Below are 23934 nucleotides of genomic sequence, written 5' to 3'. Positions count from 1 at the left end.
CAGTGGTAGACAATAGATGTTATTCAAGCATTTAAAACAACACAAAACACACATACAGACAGGACATTTTTTAATGGTTTCCTTTCCAGGAAGTTTATCTTGAGATAAAAGTGCACTTCACTTGCTCTCAATTCAAACATTTGTCTTCATATTTCTAAATATAAGTGTTTCTGTAAAGTTTTTTTTAACATAAAGTTCAATAGATAAAATCCTGTTTCACCACTGACTTATATTACAAAAGCACCCATCCACCTACCCAAAAAGGAAACCCTAGTTAATTAACAATATTTATACAGAAAGCTTTCAGATAGGGCTTAACCCTGTGACAACCAGCAGGCTAGAGTTCCTGCTTTGCTCTACCTGATGAAATTTGTAATCCAAGTAATAGTGTACTTTAGGACATTGCCGTTGTCTTTGAATTCCTTTCGGTTTCTTTTGTCTGTCTGTATAGAAGAGACCTCTAGCACTTTTGTATGGAATAGTTACCTTTGATTCTCTCCAAAGTGTTACAAAGCAGATTTTTGTTTGGTTTGAGAATTACTGGCCGGGCATGGTGGCTCATGCCTGAAATCCCAGCACTTTGGGAGGCCAAGGTGGGAGGACTGCTTGCGCCCAGGAATTTGAGACCAGCCTGGGCAACATAGTGAGACCTCGTCTCTACAAAAAATGAAAAAAAAAAAACAAAAAACGCCAGGTGTGCTGACATGGACCTGTTGTCCCAGCTACTCGGGAGGCTGAGGTGGGAGGATCACTTGAGCCTGGGAAGTTGAGGCTGCAGTGAGCCATGTATTCTTCATCCTTCACTGTATAGCATGATATGGGAAGATCCTGCCATTTCCTTGTTTTTGTTTGTTGGTTTGTTTTATTTATTATTATTATTTTTTTAAGATAGGGTCTTGCTCTGATGCTCAGGCTGGTCTCAAACTCCTGGGTTCAAGTGATCCTCCCGCCTTGGCCTCTCAAAGTTCTGGGATTACAGATGTGAGCTACCACTCCTGGCTGCTCCTGTCATTTCATTTGTTTTTCCAGAAAATTATGCATTGTGGTTTTGTACTATGAAGGAAGTCATGGAAAACAGAAATGTATTAGGCATGGTCCTGTTTACCCCATATCTTATACTCCATAAAAAGTAATAAGGCAAATACAGCAATAATTCTAAACTTGGAATGTTCATGATCACTATCATAAGAGAAAGTGCATTAAAGAAGAAACAGTTGATTTTCTGGCTGAACAATATCAAGGACAATTTTAACTGGTTTCAAGTTGGACTGAACTAGACCAACTCTTAGCTACTCTAGTTCTAGCCATAGAAATTAGATTGAATGGAGAAAAGGATTAAAATAAACCTTGGTGGCATGTTGACCTTGAGGTGTTAGAAAATCGTTCAGGCTCCTGGAAGTGTACCAGAAGTCTTCCATGCTGTGATAAAATTTGAAGCCAATGTGAAAGTGGAGTTTACCTAGGGAAAGAGGATGGAGCAGTGGTTGTCAGAGTGTGGTCCTCAGACCAGCAGCATCACCCAGAAGCTTGTTAGAAGGGCAGATTTTCAGGCCCCATCCCTGATCTACTAAATCTGAAACTCTGGTGATGGGGCCCAGCAGTCTGTTTTAATGCTCTCCCAGGGATTCTGGTGCACACTAAAGTTTGAGAGTAACTGAGACAGAGGGAAAAAATGGGACTAAGGACTCCAGTTTAAGGTTTGTAAGTCTGAAGACAACAAAAAGAAGTCTCACCATTGGAGAGGAGCCATGGCAGTGAAACTTCCATAAAAGCCACAGGAGGAGAGAATTTCAAGGAGATAGTCAGTATTGTCCAATTCTACAGGAAATTTAGTTCTGTTTGGGATATTTGTACCCCTTCCAAAGTGAGACCTTGTGTTTGCCTCTTAACTTTTCTGAGCCTTAGTCTGTTAACCTATAAGATGAGTCTGGCATCATGTTCTGCCCCTATCATAAGGTTTTTGAGTGAATCAAATTAGATGGTAAGCCAAGCATGGTAGCACACACCTGTAGTCCCAGCTACTTAGGAGGCCAAGGCAGGAGGATTGTTTGAGCCCAGGAGTTCAAGACCAGCCTGAACAATATAGCAGAACCTGTCTCAAAAAAAAAAAACAATTAGTAGATTCAATGGCATTATCAAAGTAAACAAAGATTCATGAAGTAACTAATCTTTCGATTACCATAGCCATGAATTCTGGCCATAATTCTGCTCTGTTGCCCAGGCTGGAGTGCAGTGGCACCATCTCGGCTCATTGCAGCCTCCACCTCCCGAGTTCAAGTGATTCTCCTGCCTCAGCCTCCCGAGTAGCTGGGATTACAGTCATGCGCCTTCATGCCCGGCTAATTTTTGTAGTTTTAGTAGAGACAGGGTTTCACCATGTTGGCCAGGCTGGTCTCAAACTCCTGACCTCAGGTGATCTGCCCGCCTCGGCCTCCCAAAGTGCTGGGATTACAGGTATGAGCCACTGTGGCTGGCCAGTTCTGGCCATAATTCTAAAACCTAACTTCAGGACTAAAGCTCTCAAGAAGACTGGTGTTTTTGTTTTTGTTTTATAACAACGCTCCCATGTACTTGCATGAGTTAAATGCTGGTAGAGCAGATACTAGAGGATAATATAACCTGCCTGGATATCAAGTACATACCAGTCCTCAGGGACTGGCATAGATGGTGGAGATGCCCCATTTCCTGAATATACATTTTTTGTAACTTCTTACAGTTAAGATAGCTGAGTCAGCATTTTAACTGTTTATTAACAATGGAAACACATGGAATTTGAGTCATATTTCTGGGAAGGCAACAGATTCCATACTGGTAAGAAATTTTGTGTTCCCTTTTTGTGAGAATCGTAAACTGATGACAAATATCACTCATTCCGATTTAACAGATGGAAAAACTGAAGTATACAGTAGTGATGCTTAAGAAGGGCGCTATGCATAGCTGGTAAAATTTACCACCTATGTAGTATGATTTGATAGGTGCTTACATTCCTCAGTGTCACAGATTTTGTCCCCTGACAATCTGCCGGCATACCTGTAATTCCTACTGTTCACAGTTACTCCTTCAGGGCCATTTCAAGGTTCTCAATAAATGCTTATTTGAGTGATTGAACAAACAAGATACTAAAGACATAGAGTGCCTTAAATTGGATAGATGCCTTATCTGAAAAGTGTAAGATTATCGACTCTAGCATTATTTTGAATATATGTATACGATTTAACCCATTATTAGCTACTACTTAGGTGCCGGGTTTTGATGGAGTAGTATCCAGTAGGCTGATGTTTTATGTAGTGAAGATGTAGGAAAACGCTAGAGTTTTAGAGCAGCGCCTTTGGCTTCTAGGATCTTAGGGAAAGTAGGAGATGTGATACGCTTAACTAACCTGGATGCCACGTGAGATTTATTTATTTATTTTTGAAACAGGGTCTAGCTGTGTCACCCAGGCTGCAGTGCAGTGGCATGATCACGGCTCACTGTAGCCTGGACCTCCTGGGCTCAAGTGATCTTCCCACCTCAGCTTCCCAAGTAGCTGAGACCCCACCATGCCTGGCTAATTTATTATTATTATTATTATTTGTAAAGATGGGGTCTTGCTTTGTTGCTCAGGCTGGTCTCGAACTCCTGGGCTCAAATGATCCTCCTGCCTCAGCCTCCCAAACTGCAGGTATTACAGGCATGAGCCACCATGCCTGGTCTGCATGAATTTTGAAATATCAAAAGGAAGTAAATAAGATGGGAGAGATGCACCGTTCCTGGGTTTCTGGAGGTATTGAAATACAGGTTGATGTGTAGAGTGGTGGAGCAAACTCCTATTCCATCTCCTTGCTTCAAAAACCCATTTAACATATTTTCCTTGGATAGAGAATGTGTCAAATATTAAACTGTTAAGAACAGATACTACACTTGATCTTAGCCAAAAGGATAAGTTTCACTGGAGTAGCCTGCAGTAGATCTGGAGCTTCTCTTCTGGAGACCACTTAAGAGGCTACTTTAATAGGTGAAAAGATGATAAGGAATTAAAAAAAGGAACATTTCAGTGGTAACAGAGAGGCAGGGACAGATGGAAATATTTCAGGAATAGCATGGAAGATAATATTCCGCATCACCTGCACTCTGATTCACTCTGGTAAATGGGACACGTGGGGGATCGGCTTCCTAAGCTATCCCAGTACTTCACACATGTTTGTTTCTGTGCCCATGAAATCGCCAGTGTCTTTAAGGTAAGGATCATATATTTTTATCTGTGTTCCTAGAACCCTTTCAAAGACACGCTGAAAGGTGGCCTGTATGGTTGCTGAATCATTGGTAAATAGACATTCATAAATGACTAAAGATTACAGGTTATCTCACAGTAAAATCATTAGCATTAAAAGTTCAGTAATGACTGATGAGACACTACACTGATTACATTTCAACCTAATCTTTCAAAAGCGATTTATTTTTAAAAGTCTCCATTAAACTGGCAAATTCCTCATCCCACAAATAGCCATAAAGACTGGAGTACCAGCTTCAAAATACTTTTTTTTCTTTTTTCTTTTTGAGACGAAGTCTCGCTCTTGTTCCCCAGGCTGGAGTGCGATGGCGCGATCTCTGCTCATTGCAACCTCCGCCTCCCGGGTTCAAGCGATTCTCCTGCCTCGGCCCCCCAGTAGCTGGGATTACAGGCGCCTGCCACCACGCCCGGCTAATTTTTGTATTTTTTTTTTTTAATAGAGACGGGGTTTTACCATGTTGACCAGGCTGATCTAGAACTCCTGACCTCAGGTGATCTACCGGCCTCGGCCTCCCAAAGTGCTGGGATTACAGGCCACCCACCCAGGCCACCGCGCCCGGCCTCAAAATACTTTTTTCCTTAGCTGATTTTATCGAGTGGCTATGTGCCTAAGGGAGTGTTCTAAGCAGACGTTAGTTAGGACCCAGAACGTGGGAAGTACTGGTTTCCAGATCAATTTGGTGGTGATCGTAAACCGATTCAAATCTCTAAATCCCAATTGCACGCCGACGTTACGGAACCAAAAACGCTGACGCCCACATTTCTGGGCGGACGCACAAGTATGTTACGATGGCTCGATTGCTTTTGCCTAGCGGAAACCATTCACTAAGGACCGAGCACCAAATAACCAAGGAAAAGGAAGTGAGTTAAGGACGTACTCGTCTTGGTGAGAGCGTGAGCTGCTGAGATTTGGGAGTCTGCGCTAGGCCCGCTTGGAGTTCTGAGCCGATGGAAGAGTTCACTCATGTTTGCACCCGCGGTGATGCGTGCTTTTCGCAAGAACAAGACTCTCGGCTATGGAGTCCCCATGTTGGTGAGTGGAGTGAGGAGGATCTTCCGCAAGGGGTGGGACCCTCCTCCTTGGCAGGATCAAGACCTGGGAGGGAATCTGTAAAATGTGAAGTTAAGGGCTGGCACTCGGGCTAGGAAGGAGCTAGCGACGGGGTGAGAGCTTTCCTAAAAGCTCTTCCACCAGTCTTTTCCACACCCCCACTTCCCCGCCGCTGTCCCCCACTCCCGGTTGGATTTCAGGTGTACTAGGATCTGTCTGCTTGTGAGCGTGGCGTCTTTCCCATCGTCGAACGCGGTCATTGTTACTACCCTTGATTCACAGTTAAGTAAATTGAAGCTCAGAGAATTCAGTCAGAACCACACTTTAAGCCAAGTTTGGATGATTACTAAGCTTGCTTCCTCGCCCCCAACTTAGCTATGTTTTGACGATACTGTGGATCATTGGGACTAGATGTATTCCATTTAACTGCACGAATTCCTGGTATCTTTCTGTTTCATCTTTCTAGTTTGTGAATTAGCTTAATACTTAGAGTTGTGATGAACTAATAACACCTTGTGAATAAAGTGTTGAGTACGGTGCCTGCCACATTGTAGCCAGAATGATTGCTGTGTTATAATTTCTAAAGCACGTTGAAAACAGCTTCCGTGTTTATATGGTTTCATCCATATCCACACTGAGTTCCCTAAGGATGTCATGAAATGCAGGCTGAGGCTGGCTTAAGACAACCAGAGTTGAAATCCAGATGACTCTTATTTGCTTTTTGATTACGGGCCAGTTATTTTGCTTCAGCAAGCCTTGATGTGTTAGTAAATGAAATAATTAAAGCATATGAACAAAAGCTGCTTTTAAATACAGACTATATTTTTATTTTGTATGAATGTTGGCGCAGATGAAATTACCAGCTTTTCCATTTAAGCAGACTAAAGGAAAGAAGTGATCTTAGAAAGGTAATGGATATTTTACACAGTTTTGAAAAATCCACATTCATCAAATGTGGATTTTAGGAATCTCCAAAAGATTCACCCATTTGAAGTATCTGGGCCAAGCACGATGGCTCACACCTGTAATCCCAGTGTTAGGGGAAGCCAAGACAGGAGGATCGCTTTAGGTCAGGAGTTCCAAACCAGCAAGACCTCTGTCTCTCCAAAAAAAAAAAAAAAAAAAAAAATTGTTGTTTTTAGCAAATTCGATATTAGTATACTAATATATTCGTATATTAGTATATTCTTAGTTATGGAGCCATCACCACAATTTTAGAACATTTTCATTGCCCCCAAAAAAGCATCATAACTAATAGTAGTCACTTCCCATTTCTTCCTGCCTCTTAATGCTGGCCTGGTAAACCACTAATCTACTTCTACCCGTAAATTTGCTTATTCTGCACATTTCATATTAACACACTAATACAACGTGGGTTTTTTGTGACTGGATTCTTCCACTTAGAATGTTTTTAAGGTTCATTCACATTGTAACATATATCAATACTTCATTCCTTTTGATGGATATAATTCCATTGTTTGGATATATTTTATCAATTGATGAACATTTGGGTTGTTTCAATTTTTGACTATTATGAATAATGCTGCTATGAACATTTATGTACACGCTTTGTGTGGAAGTATGTTTTCATTTCTCTCAGGTAGGGAATATACCTAGACGTGGAATTGCTAGGTCATATGGTAACTCTTCAACTTTTTAGGATGTGCCAGATGTTTTCCAAAGTGGCTGCATCATTTTACATTCCCACCAGCAAGATATGATTTTCAATTTCTCCACATCCTTGCCAACACTTGTTATTGTCCATCTTTTGAATTATTACCCTTTCTAGTAGGTGTGAAGTGATACCTCATTGTGGTTTTGATTTTCATTTCCCTAACGACTTATTATGTTGAGCATCTTTTCAAATGTTTATTGGTCATTTGAATATCTTTTTGGAGAAATGTCTGTTCAAATCCTTTGCCCATTTTTTAATTGGACTATGTTTCCTTTTATTGGACAGAGGTTTCTTTAAAACCCAAAACCAACAAATCTGCCAGTCTTTGTCGAGAGGCTCTGCATGCTTTTTTGGGCATGCTTTCAACATTCAGCCATGCAATTTACAGCTCCATGTATAGCCTTCACTTCTTACTTGCTCAGAGCTTCAAATTAGTCATAAGTTGAGAATTTAGGGCCTTCTCAGGTCTTTCTTGGGCATATACATTGCTCTGGGCATGTACACAGTTCTAGTTATTTGCATGACTTTCTAAATTCTCAGGAATATATTTGAGCTTTTCAGAGTCCTCTAAGGACACCTTATTCCTATTATCTACCACATCAGACAGTCATAATGTTAAACAATTACCTCTGAATTTTTTTTTTTTTTTTTTTTTTTTTTTTTTTTTGACAAACGCTTCCTAGGAGAAGTCTGTTCATACTAGTTGAGCTCCATGTCAGGTAAACTACAGAGAGCTTTGTGAATAGCATCTTCCAGGAAGTACCAGACTGGTGAAATGATGACATTTCTCACAGAATGGTGTTTTAAAGAGCTCCAACCTCTCTACCCTCTTCACTTGGTGCCAGGCTTTACATCATGTTTGCAGGCTGTTGGTTTTCATGGTTGTTACGGAGCTTGGGTGGAGGGGTGAGAATATGACAAATTAAAAATGCCACCAAGCTGTTCTTCCTGAGATTCAGGCATTTTTCTTAGGTAAATACTGTGCACATTGTTGCAAGTTTTTGCTTAATTTTCAGAGTTCTAAAAAAGTTTATTTGACAATTTTTTACAAATATTCTCGTTTTTGTGGAGGAAAGGATTTTTGGAGATACTCCACCATGTCACTGATATCACCCTTTGGTTCTTCTTTATATCTTCTATGTCTTTGGCGAGATTTTCTAATTTTCCATTTGTTTCAAGAAAATCTGTTGTTGTTTGAAGTATTTTTATGATGTTTCCTTTGAGGTCTTCGTCATCTTTGTCAGATAATTCTAATCTCTGATTTATCTCTGTGTTAGCATCTCTCCATAGCCTTTTTAAAATTCAAGTTTGTCTTAGTCCATTTGTGTTGCTAGAAAGCAGGGGTCCTCAACCCCTGGGCCACGGACTGGTACTGGTTTGTGGCCTGTTAGGAACTGGGCTGCACAGTAGGAGGTGAGCAGTAGGTGAGTGGGCATTATTGCCTGAGCTCCACCTCCTGTCAGATCAGAGGTGGCATTAGATTCTCATAGGAGCACGAGTCCTATTGTGAACTGCACATGTGAGGGATCTAGGTTGCATGCTCCTTATGAGATCTAATGTCTGATGATCTAAAGTGGAACAGTTTCATCCCCAAACTGCCATCCCACCCCCCACCCCCGCCACCATCTGTGGAAAAATGGTCTGCCATGAAACTGGTCCCTGGTGCCAGAAAGTTTGGGGACCACTGTTGCTATAAAGGAATACTAGAGGCTGGGTAATTTATAAAGGAAAGAATTTTCTTTTGGCTCATGGTTCTGCAGGCTGTACATACTGTGAAGCACGGCACAGCATCTGCTTCTGGTGCGGGCCTCAAGCTGCTTCCACTTGTGGCAGAAGGCAAAAGGGAGCCAGCATGTGCAGAGATCACATGCCAAGAGAGAGGGGAGGGAGGTGGCAGGCTCTTTTTGACAACCAGCTCTCAAGGGAACTAATAGAGTGAGAACTCACTCATTACCACAAGGACAGCCTCAAGCCTTTCGTGAGGGATCTGTCCCCATGACCCAAACACCTCCCACTAGGCCTTCCCTCCAACATTGGGGGTCAGATTTCAACAGGAGGTTTGGAGGGTCAAATATCCAAACTTGAGTAAAGTTATTTTCCTGGTTCTTGTCATGACAATGGAATTTGTATTATATCTTGAACATTTTAAATATTAGGAAATGATATCCTATTTAAGTCTTCTAGTTTAGCAGGATGTCGTCATGTTTAACTTGTAGGCAGTAGCCTACTATAATATTTTGGGCTCCCTTTCCTGGAACTTAGGTTCCAGATTTTGCAGTACTAATCTGGTCTGCTTTGTTCACCCGGTGGTACTGGGATTCGTGCTTGATCATGTCTGTATGGAATGTTGTAATCAACATATGCTTTTAAAGCCATAAGATTGATTAAGATTACAAAATAAGTGAATAGAGAAGAAGAGAAAACATTGTGCCCTGAGGTATGCCAACATTGGAGAGTTGAGGTATACAGGAGGAAACAATCAAGGAGACTAAGAAAGAGTGACTCTGTGGCAAAAGAAAAACCAGATATGAGGGAAGAGGAGGAGAGTGTGATCAATTGTATGAAATTTTATTCATGAAATCAGATGAAAATAAGTAAATCACCAGATTTAGTAATGTGGATGTCATTGATGGTTGGAATGGATCTAAGAGAGAGTAGGAAGAGCAGCTAGTATAGGCAACTCATTTGAGAAATTTTTCTGCATATAGGAACAAAGAAAGAGGTTGGTATCTGGTGGGAAAGTGGTGTCCAGGAAAGTTTGTTAATAAGATAGGAGAAATAATAGCATTTTTATGCTGGATCCTGCAGTGGTGAGCAAGATTTTGATGATACAGGAAAGGAGAGAATTGATGAATCAGTGTCCTTCAGTAGATAAGAGAAGATTGGAGATAAATGAAGATATTTAGTTAGGAGTGTGGATTCTATGGTAACAGGCAGTAAGTGTTGCAGTGCAATTCAAACACCACACACACACACACACACACGCACACACACACTCTATGCATAGTCCTGCACAAAACTCCCCTAACTTCCTACACCAGGCATAACCCCAGGTTTAAGCCACCCCCTCAGGTTCAATAATTTAGTAGAACTACTCATAGAACTCAGGAGAATACTATACTTATGATTACAGTGTTATTATAAAGGATATAAATTAGGAACAGCCAAAAAAAGAGACTCATATGTCGAGGTCCAGGAGGGTCCTGCATGCAGAGCTTCTGTGTTCTGTCCCCATGGGATCAGGGCATGTCACCCTCCTTGCACATTGATGTGTTTACCAACCAGGGAGTTCAACCAAGTTTCACTGTCCAGAATTTTTACTGGGGTTTCATTATATAGGCATGGGTGATTGAACCATTGGCCATGTGACTGAACTGTCTCCAGCTCTCCTCTTCTCCCTTGAGGTTTGGAGGTTGGGTTGATATCACATAGCTCAAAGCCCCAGCCCTCTAGTCACATGGCTGGACTTTTCAGCATGGCCTGCCTGTATCTTTTCATTGAAACTGAAACAAAAGTTATTTTGCGTATACAAATCTTACATTTTGACATTGCAGGTATTAGCTGCTTATCTATAACAGATATTTTTTCTGATTTGTTCTCTTTTGATTTTATGTTGTTTTTATTTCATTTATTTGTCAGCATAGAAGTTTTATTTATTATTATTATTGTTGTTTTTTTAAGAGAGGAGGTCTTGCTGTGTTGCCCAGGCTGGTCTTAAACTCCTGGCCTCAAGTGATTCTCCCACCTCAGCCTCCGGCGTAGTTGGGATTACAGGGATAAGCTACCATACCCACCCAGAAGTTTTAAATTTTTATGTGGTCACATATACTTGGTTTTGAAATTTATAGCCTCTGATGATAAAATCTTCTGATGGGAAAAAAAATGAAATTCATAACCTCAAGGTTTTGTTGGTATTCTCAACTTCAAAATTATAAACATTTATGTTTTATACCTTTTAATATTTAATTCTTTAATTGGTATATAAATATATTTATAAAAAAAAGGAAGGTAGGGGCCGGGCGCAGTGGCTCACGCCTGTAATCCCAGCACTTTGGGAGGCTGAGGCAGGTGGATCACAAGGTCAGGAGTTTGAGACCATCCTGGCCAATATGGTGAAACCCTGTCTCTACTGAAAATATAAAAAATTAGTCGAGTGTGGTGGCAGGCGCCTGTGGTCCCAGCTACTCAGGAGACTGAGACGGGAGAATTACTTGAGCCTGGGAGGTGGAGGTTGCAGTGAGCTGAGGTCACACCACTGCACTCCAGCCTGGGTGACAATGCAAGACTCTGCCACACACAAAAAAATATGTGTATATCTATCTATCTATCTATCTCTATGTGTGTGTGTATGTATATATATATATTTATATATGTGTGTATATATATGTGTGTATATGTGTGTGTATATATATGTGTATGTATATATATATAAAATTATATATAAATTAAATTAAAAGAAAGGTAGGGATCAAACTTTATTTTTTTCCAAATGGCTACATCTTTCAGCTTCAGAATGATGGATTAAAGCTAATTAGATTTTTTTTCTTTTTCTTTCTTTTTTTTTTTTTGACAGAGTCTCACTCTGTCACCAGGCTGGAGTACAGTGGCGCAGTCTTGGCTCACTGCAACCTCCACCTCCCAGATTCAAGCGATTCTCCTGCCTCAGCCTCCCGAACAGCTGGGACTACAGGTGCGTGCCACCACACCCGGCTACTTTATGTATTTTTAGGAGAGATGGGGTTTCACCGTATTGGCCAGGCTGGTCTTGAACTCCTGACCTCGTGATTCTCCCGCCTTGGCCTCCCAAAGTGCTGGGATTACAGGCATGAAACTAATTAGATTTTTGGATGACATGATAAAGTAGCAATGACAACTTGGGGATCTTTTAAGGTTACCACATACTGAGAAGTGTGGTAAATTTCATGAGATTTCTTTTTTTCTTTAGAAAAAAGTGGCAGTATTTACTTAAGAAGTGAAGATGTCATTTATCTGACCCAGAAATTCCATTACTGGATATTTTTTCTCCAGTATATGTGTACAAAAACAAATGTAGTTGGGAGGCTGAGGCAGGAGGATCTCTTGAACCCGGGAGGCAGAGGTTGCAGTGAGCCGAGATCGCGCCACTGCACTCCAGCCTGAGTGACAGAGCGAGACTCTGTCTCAAAAAAAAAAAAAAAAAAGAAAAAAAAAGAAATATATTTGTGTTAGAAAATGTATGAGTGAGTAGTGCACATAAATAATGTATGTAATATGCATTATGTTTACATATATATAATTATATAACATGTAGTTATAAAAATATCATATGTATGACACACATACAAATATAAAAAGATCTCCACTGGGTGTGGTGGCTCATGCCTGTAATCCCAGCACTTTGGGAGGCTGAGGCGGGTGGATCACTTGAGCCCAGGAGTTCAAGACCAGCCTGGGCAACATGGTGAAACCCCGTATCTAGTGAAAATACAAAAATTAGCTGGGTATGGCAGTGGATGCTTGTAATCCCAGCTACTCGGGAGGCTGAGGCAGGAGAATTGCTTGAACCTGGGAAGCGGAGGTTGCAGTGAGCCGAGATCGCTCCTCTGCACTCTAGCCCAGGCAACAGAGGGAGACTTGGTCTCAAAAAATAAATAAATAAATAAAAAAGTACAGACCAGTATTATATACTACACGTAAGTATCAATTCCTGGGTCAAATAAATGACATCTTCACTTCTTAAATAAATATTGCCAGGTTTTTCAAAAGAAAAAAGAAATCACATGAAATTTACCACACTTCCCAGTATGCAGTAATCTTAAAAGATCCCCAAATTGTCATTGCTGCTTTATCATGTCATCCAAAAATCTAATTAGCTTTAATCCCTCATTCTGAAGCTGAAAGTTCTAGCCATTTGCAAAAAAATAAAGTTTGATCCCTACCTTCCTTTTTATATAAATATACTTGTATTACCAATTAAATGATTAAATATTAAAAGGTATAAAACACTATAAAACATAAACTTTTATAATTTTGAAATTAAGAATACCAACAAAACCTTGAAGCTGTGACATTATTCCAGAAATCATTCAACTATCAAACAAGAGAATGAGTAAATAAACTGTGTTCTGTTTTTATAATGGAATACCATATAGCAAAGAAAATTAACTATAGCTGCATACAATATACTTTAATCTAAAATACATAATTTCTCACTAAAAAAAGTTACACCAAAGAATAGTTTTAATAAAATTCAAAAACAGAAAAGGCTTAATTATAGAATTTAGTTATTATATATAGATGGTAAAGTAAAGAAGAAAATCAAGAAGTGAATGCAATAAAATCTAGCTTTTGTGTTAACGGTAAAGAGAGGAAGGTTACCCTTTTATCTGCAAGGGGTATATGTGTTGGCAGTATTCTATTTGTTAAACTGGGTAGTTAATGCATTGTAGTTTATGTTACAATTATTATCTCTAAATTAATGCTTTATATACACTTTTGTGTGTATTTATTAATAAAATATTAATGCAGTGTGCAAGATGGTAAGCACGATGCATATTATGTCTCCGTTTGTATTAAAGGGAGAGTGTGGTATGTTTAAAATGTCTGTGCTTATACATGGATTGATGATTTTTTGAAGGACAACCAATAAGTTGGAAACAGTGGTTATATTGGGGGGAAAGACATAAATAAGATAGAAATTGTACCCTTTGAGTTCAGGCAAAATACTACCCTAATGAGGGCTCCCTACCCCTTTCATCCCCCCTTGAAGAATGGCTTCAGTCATTTAGTAGAAGGGCTAAGCTTTTGAAAATATTATTTTCTTCTTTTGTTAAATCAGCAAAATGTCAGGTATGTCTGCTTTTTCTGAGTTGTGTAAATTCCACAGTTAGGCTGATGCAAAAATATTTGAAGTCCAGTCTATAGAAGTTTTCAGTTAGCTGCTTTGAGATACAGCATTTGGTATTAACAAAGTTCCACAACATAAACCTTTGTAATACATTGCAGCACTGAAGATAGCAAATTGACCTAAAAGCACAAAAAGATGAATTAACCAAATGAATTGGATGAACTATTGTTTGTTCATTTTTAATTGTACTCAAATTATATTTCTTATTAGGGGAAAATGATAGGAGAACAGAAAGTAAAATATTAAACATTAAAATTGTTATTCTACTAAACACGTATAGTTAGGTGTAAGTTGGACAAAATCATTTGTGTGTTGTTGTTTTTAGAGAATACATTTATAAATGCAATGACAGTATTGTAAATATGTTTTCTTTGCATAGGAGAAGATAACTCTTAGTTAGCTGTCACTGCTGTATTGCTTCAATATGAGGTGAGAGGTGACCCAGCTGACTATTTGTAAGGTTCTTGTATTGGTTTGAACCCCGAGAGCGCGCCAATGTACAACACTGAGGCGGTATGGAGCAACATGCTGTTTTAATGAGCGCCTGGGTGCAGGCGGGCTGAGGCCTAAAATGGCGTCAACCCCAAGTGAGGACGGGACGAAAGTTTTACAGTCTCCTGTAAACAGGAAGTGTCCTAGTCTGACGTAATTGCTAAGTTGTAACTGGATTGGCCTCTTTCTGGGTCTTCAGGGGTGTGTCTTCCGGCCGGCTCTCTTCCTGCTTCTGCTATCTTCCTGGCGCACCCTGCTGGCGCAAGTAGCCTTGAGCCTTGGGACTGGGCCTGAGAAGGGAAGAGTTTTTCTTTCATCTCCTTAAGCTTTCAGGCCCCGGGGAGAATCTTACATTCCTGTCTATTTGGTTATAGAAAAGGGAAAAGGGATGACTTTCTCAATAACTACTTCAGGCGTGACATAGGGGTGGCGTGGGCACCTTGGAAAAAGAAAACCTTAATTTTTTGGGTATTCTTGAGAGACGGGCTGGTGTCCACCATGTCGTTGTATCAGGAGCATCATCTGGATTGTCTGGAAACACATCTGTGCCTGCAAGACAGTTATGTTGAGAGGACAAGGCGGTGTGGACAGGGAGAGGCATGGCCTCATTTGCTGCTTCACAAATGAAAGACCCTGTCTGGATTAAGGAGGGAAGGTAATTCCTGAAGGGCTCAGAGTCTGGTAAGGGTGGAGGCCCCAAGACAAAAGTTCAGCCATACATGATTGCAAAGGGACTATAAAAAGAGGGTGCTTTTGGTGTTGCGCAGAGCCTTATGAGGGCAAAAGGGAGATTTTTTTTGTCCACAACTGCTGGGTTTTTAGAGCCAGCTTGGTGAGTTGGGCTTTAAGGACAGAGTTCATTTTTTCAACTTTGCCTGAAGATTGAGGCCTGTAGGGTGTGTGGAGAACCTACTTTATTCTTAAGGACGTAGAGACGCCTTGGATAATTTGGCTGATTAAGGTGGGCCTGTATCGGACTGGATGGATGTTGGGAGGCCGAAATGGGGAATTATATGCATGATGAGAGTTTGTGTGACATTTGCACCTTCTGAAGTTGTTGGGAACACTTCTGCTTACCTGGAGAAGGTACAGACCAAGACTAGAAGATAGCGGAGCTGTTTATTGGGCGGCATGTGAGTGAAGTTTACTTGCCAATCGTGCCTGGGTATCTGGCCCCGGGCTTGGTGGGTAGGAAAAGGCGGTGGCCGGAGGGAGCCCTGGGGTGACACTGAGTGGCAGATAGAGCAGGACTGGGTAATATCTTGAACATAGCTGGAAAGGTGAGGACAAGTGAGAACAGGGCGGAGAAGTTGCAAGAGAATTTGTAACCAACATGGAAAGTGTTGGGGAGGCTTTGGAGATGAGGAAGGCTTTGAGAGTGAGGAAGAATGAAGTGCCTTTCCTTGACATACCATGGTCCTTGCTTTTGAAGGTTTTGGGCTCAGAAGTCCTCCTTTTCTTCTGAGGAGTAAAGAGGAGAGAACAAGGACAGGGACAGAAACTGGCCTTGCATGGGTTGCAGGGCTACTTGTTTGGCTACCTGATCTGCTAGCGCATTTCCAGCCGATATAGGATTGTCCCGGGTTTGGTGGCCCCTGCAATGAATGAAGGCAGCTTTCTGCGGGAGTCTGGCAGCTTGAAGGAGCTTGCTGGTAAGAGAGCCATTTATGACAGGAGTGTTTTTTGCAGTTAAAAAACCTTGTTCTTTCCACATAGACGAGTGTGAGTGTACTATATGGAACGCATAATGAGAATCTGAATATATGTTAATTTGTTGTCTGGTTACTAGAGTGAGATCTTGAGTGAGAGCAGTGCATTCAGCTTTTTGGGAGGTGGTGCCTGGGGGAGCGGATTGGCTTCAGTAGTGTGTGTGAGGGGGTGACACTATATCATAGCCAGCATGCCGGCATCCTTGACATAGGAAGGAGCTGCCATCTACAAACCAAGTAAAGGAGGCATCTGGAAGGGGTTGGGCTGTTAGGTTTGGAAAAGGTGTAAGAAAGGTTTGAACAGTGTTCACACAGAAGTGTGTAGGGTATTGGGCGGTTGTAGCTTCAGGAAAGAGCATGGCAGGGTTTACATGAGAGCTGGTTAGCACGGTGATTTGGGGGGTTTCTATGAACAGAGCATACAGTTGGAGGAGCCGTGGGGCAGAGATGAGACTTAGTACACTGTGGTGAGCTAGCATGTCTTTGATATTATGGGTTGAATAAACTGTTAGGTTGGCATGGAGAGATAGTTTTAGGCTTTCAAGGATGAAGACAGCAGCTGCCTCCAGTGCTTGGAGGCAGGCAGACCATCTGAGAACTGTGGCTTCAAGCTGTTTGGAGAGGTAGGCGATAACCTGGAGGGTGGGTCTCTTAGACTGGGTTAGAACACCTAGTGCAACTCTACACGTTCGTTGGTATAGAGGGAGAAAGGTTTGGTGAGGTCTGGGAGAGTGAGGATGGGGGCTGAGATGAGAGTCTTCTGGAGTAGATGGAAAGGTTGGGTAATAGGCTATGCAGGGTTTGAAGGCTCATGGAGAGGGCCTTTAGTGTCTTGGTATAATGGTTTGGCAAGTAGAGCAAAGGAGGGAACCCAGAGCCTAACATATCCCACTAGTCCTAGGAAAGAGAATTTCTTGCTTAGTTTGCAGAGGTGGGAGAGACTGGAGGAGGGATATGTGGTCGGTTGTGAGCCCTCGGGTTCATGGGGTAAGAGCCAGGCCTAGATAAGTGACTAAGGGGGCTCATATTTGTGCTTTCTTAGGGGAGACCCGATACCTCCGTTCTGCCAAGAAGTTTAAAAGAGAGAGATAGCATGGGCGTTGCAGTCTCTTTGAGAGGGGCTACACAGGAGCAGATCATTAACACATTGAAGGAGAGTGGACGGTTTTAGGGATAAGGTACAGAGGTCATGAGCAAGGGCCTGTCCAAAAAGATGGGGGCTGTCTCTGAAACCTTGAGGTAGTACGCACCAGGTGAGCTGATGTGAAAGGTGGGTGTCGGGGTTTTCCCATGTAAAGGCAAAGAGGTTTTGGGAATCAGGGTGTAAAGGAATTGTGGAAAAAAGCATCCTTTAGGTATAGAACAGGAAAATGGGTGGTATTGGAGGGAATTGCAGAAAGTAAAGTATATGGGTTAGGAACTACTGGACATACTGGGAGTACAGCTTGGTTAATGAGCCTGAGGTCCTGGACTAAGTGATAAGTTCCATCTGGCTTTTAAACAGGTAGAACTGGTGTGTTAAAAGGAGAGTTTCTTGGGTGGAGTAGGTGACTGGTGAGGCGGCGAGAAATGATAGGCTTTAGGCCTATGAGAGCTGCTTGGGGGATGGGATACTGCTTCTGTGATAGGAACTGGGTGGACTCTTTAAGGGTAATGCGGACGGGGGTGTGGTGTTTTGCGACTGAAGGTGTGGAAATATTCTAAACAGCGGGGTTAACTACGGATGGGGGATAAGGTAAAGTTGCATGTTTTAAGGTGGCAGGTTGGAGGAGTAGAAGAAAGTTAGATGCCCCGAGGGGTCTGGGTTGATGCGTTGGGTACTATGGGGAATGTGCAAGTGGAGAGTAGTGTGGAGTTTTGAAAGGATGTCTCTGGTATGAGGGCAGGACTAAGAAAGGGTGACTGAAGGAAAAGGTGTGCAGGGAGCAGAAAAGTGGAGGGGTGGCTCAGGGTTTGGAGTCTTGTCTGTCAATTCCCACAACGGAGAAAAGGGAGGACTGGGTGTGTCCTGAAAAATTAGGTAAAGCAGAGTAGTTTGCCCGGTATTAATTAAAAAAAAAATACTGGCCTACCTGCCACCATCAGGGTTACCCTTGGCTCGGATGAAGCGATGGTAGTTGCCGGGGCATCCATTCCAGGGCACCATCAATCTTCAGCGGCAAGGCCAATGAGATCCAAGTAGGAGGTTTTGGCCGGCTTAGGAAGTGATGGGGCCGCCCTTGCAGGGGCCGCTCACAGTCCAATTTCCATTGGGGTCCTCTGCAGAGGGGGCATGGCCTGGTGGGCTTACCTGGATTTGGGCATTGTCTGGACCAGTGGCCTTCATTGCCGCACTTGAAAAGGTGCCAAGTGGAGGTAGGTTGCTAGGAGGCTTCCGTGTGGAGCTGCGGACCCGTGGGCCTGCAGGGCCCCTGATGGCGGAGGCAAGCATTTGAAACTCCGCCTGTTTTTGCCTTTTACTTTCCCTATCACGATTGTTAAAGACTATGAAGGCTAAATTAAGACGGTCTTGTGAGGTTTGAGGGCCATCATCAAGCTTCTGAAGCTTGCACCGAATATCGGGGGTGGATTGGGAGATGAACCGAAGGTTTAAGATAATGGTTCGTTCTGAGGGTTTGAAGGGGGAAGGAGGGTTAACAGGCAGTGGAGGATAGGCAGGGGCGTAAGGTGGCGGGATGAGTTTACAAGCTTTAGGAGAGGGCAGTGGGGGAGGAGAATGGGTACAGGCAATACTAGAATTGTCCCGAGGAGGGGATGGTGTAGGAAAAGAAGTGGATACAGCTGACTGGGAAGATGGCAGCTGGGAAGATGGCAGCTGAGAAGACAACGAGGAGGCTTGGGGGGTTAAAAAAGATGGTTGAGAGGAAAAGGTAGGGGTTGGGAGGGGTGGATAGCAGTCAGTTGGATCGAACGAGAAAAATGAGGTAGGGTCGGGAGGAGAAAGGCGATCAGGGCGGTGAGAATGGAGGGGAAGGATTTGAACAGGTAAGCAAGAATTGCAGAGGTTGGGTTGTGAACTGAGTGCAAAAAGGCCTGGACATAAGGAATTTCTTCCCATTTTTCCAGTCGTCGGCAATAATTGCTTAAGTCAGTTAAAATTGTAAAGTTGAATGTTCTATTTGCAGGCCATTTGGACCCATTATTTAATTTGTACTGTGGCCAGGCTGTATTGCAAAAAAGACAGGTACTTAGAGCGAATATCTTGCCTGAGGCCTAAGGTTTGCAGGTTTTTTATGAAGCAGCCTAGAGGGCTGTTGTTTGGAATGGAGGACCGGAGTTTCCCATAACAGAGGGTAGGCTCAGGAGAACAGGGAAAAAGGAGACCATCCTGGAGGGAGATGATAAAAGGAGCAACTGTCACCGCTGCCTTTTTCGTTCCTGGAACACGATCAAATGGCTTAGAGGCATCCCCCTAAGACCAGATGATCAGCGAGTGCCTGGCACACGCCGGCGCCTTCTTGGACCAACACTGGATATTCGGACCAGAGAAACTAAGAGAGGCCGTGTGAATTTTCCCTGCTAACTGGGCCCCTGAGGAAACTTACCAGTAAGCAAGATCAGTGACCAATGTGCATGCACAGAGAGGCAACTGGAGATCGAGGAGCTTCCTTTGTCTGGCTGCTGTGGCCTGCTGTCTGGGGTGGAGGGGTAGGTTCACAGGGGACGTGGACCAGAACCTCTCCCGGGTTTCAGCACCAGATGTACGGTTCTTGTATCGGTTGGAACCCTGAGAGCGCACCAACAGACAACATGAGGTGGTGAGGAGCAACATGCTGTTTTGATGAGCGCGTGGGTGCAGGTGGGCTGAGGCCTAAAATGGCATCAGCCCCAAGTGAGGATGGGACAAAGGTTTTATAGTCTCCTGTAAACAGGAAGTGTCCTAGTCTGACATAATTGCTCTGTTGTACCTGGATGGCCTCTTTCTCAATCTTCAGGGGTACGTATTTTCCGGCCGGCTCTCTTCCTGCTTCTGCTATCTTGCTGGTGCACACTGCTGGTACAAGTAGCCTTGTGCCTTGGGACTGGGCCTGAGAAGGGATGAGTTGTTCATCTCCTTAAGCTTTCAGGTCCCAGGGAGAATCTTACACTATTCATCCCTGCTCTGAGATGTCAGGGAAATCTACAGGTGTCTTCTGAAATCCAAAGTCCATTCTAAGCTTGTTTTATAAGAGCGACACACAATAAGTAATGGTGAGTGAGTTTCTCCTTGTGGTCATTAACTTTTGTAGCAATACTGAAACCGCCTTTGCAAAATTATAACTGAGGAAATTATGACAATGAAAGAAATCAGACCTAACTGACTCCATCTTGCTTCTAACCTGTAAGCTGCCCTTGTTCATTCCTGGGCATAGGCCGAACTATGGGAAGGAATTCAGTTCATGGTTTGACTCTGAAACAAAATTGATAATAGCCCTTTCCCAAAAAGACTCCCTTCTTGCCTGGGGACCAGTCTGCCTTTGCAGGACCAACAAATTAGCTACAAGATTAGAAATTACAGTTTATGGGTCATGCAGCCTCTGGCTCCAAGAGCCTGAACCTCCCAAATTGCTCCTGGGGATAACATCGCTATTGTAAAACCTAACATCAGTTCTTGAGATATTTTGCAGACCCTGCACTGGATGGATCAGCTGACATTACCCAGACGGGTAATTGGGCTCAACCAGTTCTGCCATCCCACCCAGTGACAGAAAACAGCAAGGAAAGCTCACTTTGCCCCCTATGAGTCCAACTCCAAACTGACCAATCAGCACACTCCCCACTTCCCAAGCCCCTACCCACCAAATTATCTAAAAACTCTGATCCCTGAATGCTCGGGGAGACTGATTTGAGTAATAATAAAACTCCGGTTTCCACACAGCTGGCTCTGCAATTCCCCATTGTTATTCCCCATTGTAATTCCCCTGTCTTGATAAATCAGCTCTGTCTAGGTAGCACGCAAGGTGAACCCATTCGGTGGTTACAATTCTTTATTATGAAGTTTAAATCTTTTGAAAATACTGTGCCTCAAATAGGTGCCAGCAAAAACATGAAAGTGATTCTGTATATCTTAAGATGATGTTTCAGAATTTCACTATATAGTAAGAATTTGAAGACTTTCTTTACCTGTGACCTGTATAGCCATATTGTCCCTGGGAATACAATGTGATATACAGAATATTCTGCAGCAAGTTTTCATGAGATTTCTTTATCACTTGGTAAGGTAATGAGAACTCCAATTGCCTTATTTTGAAAAATCATAAAATCAAAAGAATTCTGGTCTTGAAGGAAAAAATGGCAAGTTTTACTGCTGGGTTTACCTTGTGTAATCATAGTACGAAAAGAAGGAAAACCTTAAACAAAAAAACAATAATGTTATAGAGTTTATTTGAACAAAGAAAATTCATGAATCAGGCAGCACTCAGAACCAGAAGTTGAGAGAGCTCCATTCTGCAATATGGGCAATGAGTATAGACAAAACAGGAAAGTGAAGTACAGAAATAGCTTGGTTGGTTATAGCTAGGCATCTGCCTTATTTGGACATGGTCTGATCAGTTGATCAGGTTTCAATTTCATTACTTACTAAGGAAGATCGCATAGCAATGGAATTACAGAGACATCCCTGGGCAAAATTTAAGTTAACAATGGACAAGTCATTTAGCTGGCTGTGCTTTTATTTCCTCATTTGTTGAATTTGTTTTTGTTTTTGTTTTTTTCTTAGCAAAAAACAAAAATAGGTCTATTGTAAGAGTCAGATAATACAATGCTTGTTATGATGTCATTTAAATCATAAGGTCAAATACAGGTATAGGGTGACGATTTTGGTATTTGGTAATGATGTGCTATAATGATTTCCTAGCCAGTATATACTGCATTTACTCTAAAAGATGAATGGTGACTCACCAGGAAAAATAATCTATAGAATTTTTGTATAATGTGCCTCTATTGTTGTTTAGAAAAGCAATCTATAGATAGGCTGAATTTGAATTCTGGTCTTCTGTTTTGCTTAAATGTTTCCTTTCTTTGTTTTAGTTGCTGATTGTTGGAGGTTCTTTTGGTCTTCGTGAGTTTTCTCAAATCCGATATGATGCTGTGAAGAGTAAAGTAAGAAATATAATTAGAGTTTGACATGTGTCTGTCTATATGTATGTTCTGGTTTAGGAGAATTGTATACTCAGTATACTAAGTAGTCTGAGTTTGTCTTGCTTTTCAACACTAAGATGTGATCTTTGTTTTTTTCTTTAAAATAACATTAGTGATCACATGGCAGTGAATCATGAAATGTAACTAATTTCGTAATCTTTCTTTTTTTCTTTTGCCACGGGGTCTCACTCTGTCGCTCAGACTGGAGTGCAGTGGCCTATCCTGGTTCACTGCAACCTCTGCCTCCCAGGCTCAAGCAATTCTCTTGTCTCAGCCTCCCGAGTAGCTGAGATTACAGGTGTGCGCCACTACCACCCGGCTAATTTTTGTATTTTTAGTAGAGATGGGGTTTCACTATGTTGGCCAGGCTGGTCTTGAACTCCTGACCTCAAATGATCCACCCGCCTTGGCCTTCCAAAGTGTTGGGATTACAGGTGTGAGCCACTGTGCCCAGTCTAGTAATCTTTCTTATTTCATTAGGAAATTTGCAATGTTGTTAGCATTCTCCCACAAAATATGATCTGATGTAGCTGTTTTTAGAATTTAGAAGGGATTAAAAAACAGAGGTCAATAATTTTGCTTTATTTTATTTCTCTTAATTTAATATTAATATCAGTAATTGTATAAAGTATATTGATATGTATCTTTAATAACTGTTACTAAAAGGAAAACTATTTTTCAGTATAAATAAAGACAGCTACATTTATAGTATCTACTTTGTAGTAGGACTATATTAGTTCATACACACACACACTCACACACACACAGATGATCCTTGACTTATAATGGGGTTATGTCTTGCTAAACTCATTGTAAATTGAAAATATCATAAGTAAAAAATGCATTTAATATCTGATTAAATGGATCGTAAAGTAAAAGAAACGTACGTTGAAACATTGCAAGTTGGGGCTATATGTTATCGTCTTTATTTTACAGGTGAGGAAACTGAGGGGGTCTATACATTAACTATAGTGGGTCTTTACTTGAAAAAACTGAAGAAAAATAAAGCTTATCTAAGTTGGCTAAGGTCACATGGCTACTTAGGGGTAGAGCTAGGATTCTCACCCTCTAATCACACAATTGTGAAATTCAGGACACATAAGAACTCTGGTTTTTTCATTCAGAAGTACATAGCTTTTGTTTATGGCACATATCTGATATTTGTAGTTTTTTTCTCAAGTAATATATGTATTTTATTAGCAGACCTCAGTAATATTGATAGAAAAGTAGAGTATAAAGTCCTATTCAGTTTCCTCAGTTAATTTTATGGTTTTAGAGAAACCAACATCAGCTAGTTTTAAGGACAGTAGGTATTAGGGTAAATTTTAAATTTAAAAAAATGTGTACTTTCTATGAAGGATTAGAACAATTTTATTTAATGAGGAATTTTACTTAATTTTCAGTTAGCAACTTTCAATTTAACTGTGTTAAAAGCTTTCAGTTAGCATCCCAATTATTTTATCAAGGAATTTTTTTCTTTTTCCCTTTAAGATGAAAATTATGGTAGTATATGACATTTGGAAGGGAGAAAATAAGTATATATTTGAAAAATAATTGAATAGTGGTCATGTGTTAATACTTGTTAGATGCTGCAAGTAAAGTATTCAGAAACTAGTACTTATAAAGTTTATAATTGAGGCTGGAAGACAGCTAATTAAAAAAATGTACCCAGACATATAATATAGCAATGCCAGTAAAATGCCATTACTAGACGTTCAAGGAGAGGTGTAT

At 41.5% G+C, this 23934-nt stretch overlaps 2 protein-coding genes, 1 long non-coding RNA gene and 1 pseudogene across 6 annotated transcripts in view, besides 3 other annotated features; 2 read left to right on the top strand and 2 right to left on the bottom strand.

Moving 5' to 3' along the window:
- Positions 1-23934, top strand: part of SYNJ2BP-COX16 (SYNJ2BP-COX16 readthrough) — a 92010-nt gene that overhangs the window by 52269 nt on the left and 15807 nt on the right. The window contains exon 4 of one of the 3 annotated variants that reach the window (NM_001202548.2): positions 22093-22164. The exons of the other annotated variants lie outside the window; for them this stretch is intronic. Within the exon in view, the coding sequence (NP_001189477.1) occupies positions 22093-22164 (72 nt within the window). The remainder of the gene's footprint in view (positions 1-22092; positions 22165-23934) is intronic. 3 annotated transcript variants of the gene reach the window in all.
- RNU2-51P (RNA, U2 small nuclear 51, pseudogene) lies at positions 3740-3918 on the bottom strand (annotated as a pseudogene).
- Positions 4560-4649: an enhancer, noted in NCBI's record as "active region_8652". NCBI's record gives its function as "activates an Ori minimal core promoter by ATAC-STARR-seq in GM12878 lymphoblastoid cells {active_cell/tissue: GM12878}" and the evidence as "EXISTENCE:reporter gene assay evidence [ECO:0000049][PMID:35858748]".
- Positions 5110-5419: an enhancer, noted in NCBI's record as "active region_8651". NCBI's record gives its function as "activates an Ori minimal core promoter by ATAC-STARR-seq in GM12878 lymphoblastoid cells {active_cell/tissue: GM12878}" and the evidence as "EXISTENCE:reporter gene assay evidence [ECO:0000049][PMID:35858748]".
- Positions 5139-23934, top strand: part of COX16 (cytochrome c oxidase assembly factor COX16) — a 34603-nt gene continuing 15807 nt past the window's right edge. The window contains exons 1-2 of one of the 2 annotated variants that reach the window (NM_016468.7): positions 5139-5303; positions 22093-22164. In NM_016468.7, coding sequence (NP_057552.1) covers positions 5235-5303; positions 22093-22164 — 141 coding nt within the window. In that variant the 5' untranslated portion in view covers positions 5139-5234. The remainder of the gene's footprint in view (positions 5304-22092; positions 22165-23934) is intronic. The other variant, NM_001204090.2, reaches the window with a different exon arrangement.
- Positions 14053-15252: an enhancer, noted in NCBI's record as "MED14-independent group 3 enhancer chr14:70816287-70817486 (GRCh37/hg19 assembly coordinates)". NCBI's record gives its function as "activates an origin of replication core promoter dependent on BRD2, BRD4, P300/CBP and CDK7 cofactors, and independent of MED14, by STARR-seq in HCT116 cells {active_cell/tissue: HCT116}" and the evidence as "EXISTENCE:reporter gene assay evidence [ECO:0000049][PMID:35650434]".
- Positions 14399-19687, bottom strand: LOC124903340 (uncharacterized). Its single transcript, XR_007064238.1, has 2 exons — positions 19629-19687; positions 14399-18494 (listed from the first exon to the last, which is right to left on the bottom strand). It is a non-coding gene; the product is annotated as an uncharacterized LOC124903340 (long non-coding RNA).

The sequence above is a fragment of the Homo sapiens genome, chromosome 14, assembly GCF_000001405.40.
Source record: "Homo sapiens chromosome 14, GRCh38.p14 Primary Assembly".
NCBI classification, from domain to species: domain Eukaryota; kingdom Metazoa; phylum Chordata; class Mammalia; order Primates; family Hominidae; genus Homo; species Homo sapiens.
Note: the sequence above shows the minus strand (reverse complement) of the source record. Positions and strands in the feature narration are given on the sequence as shown.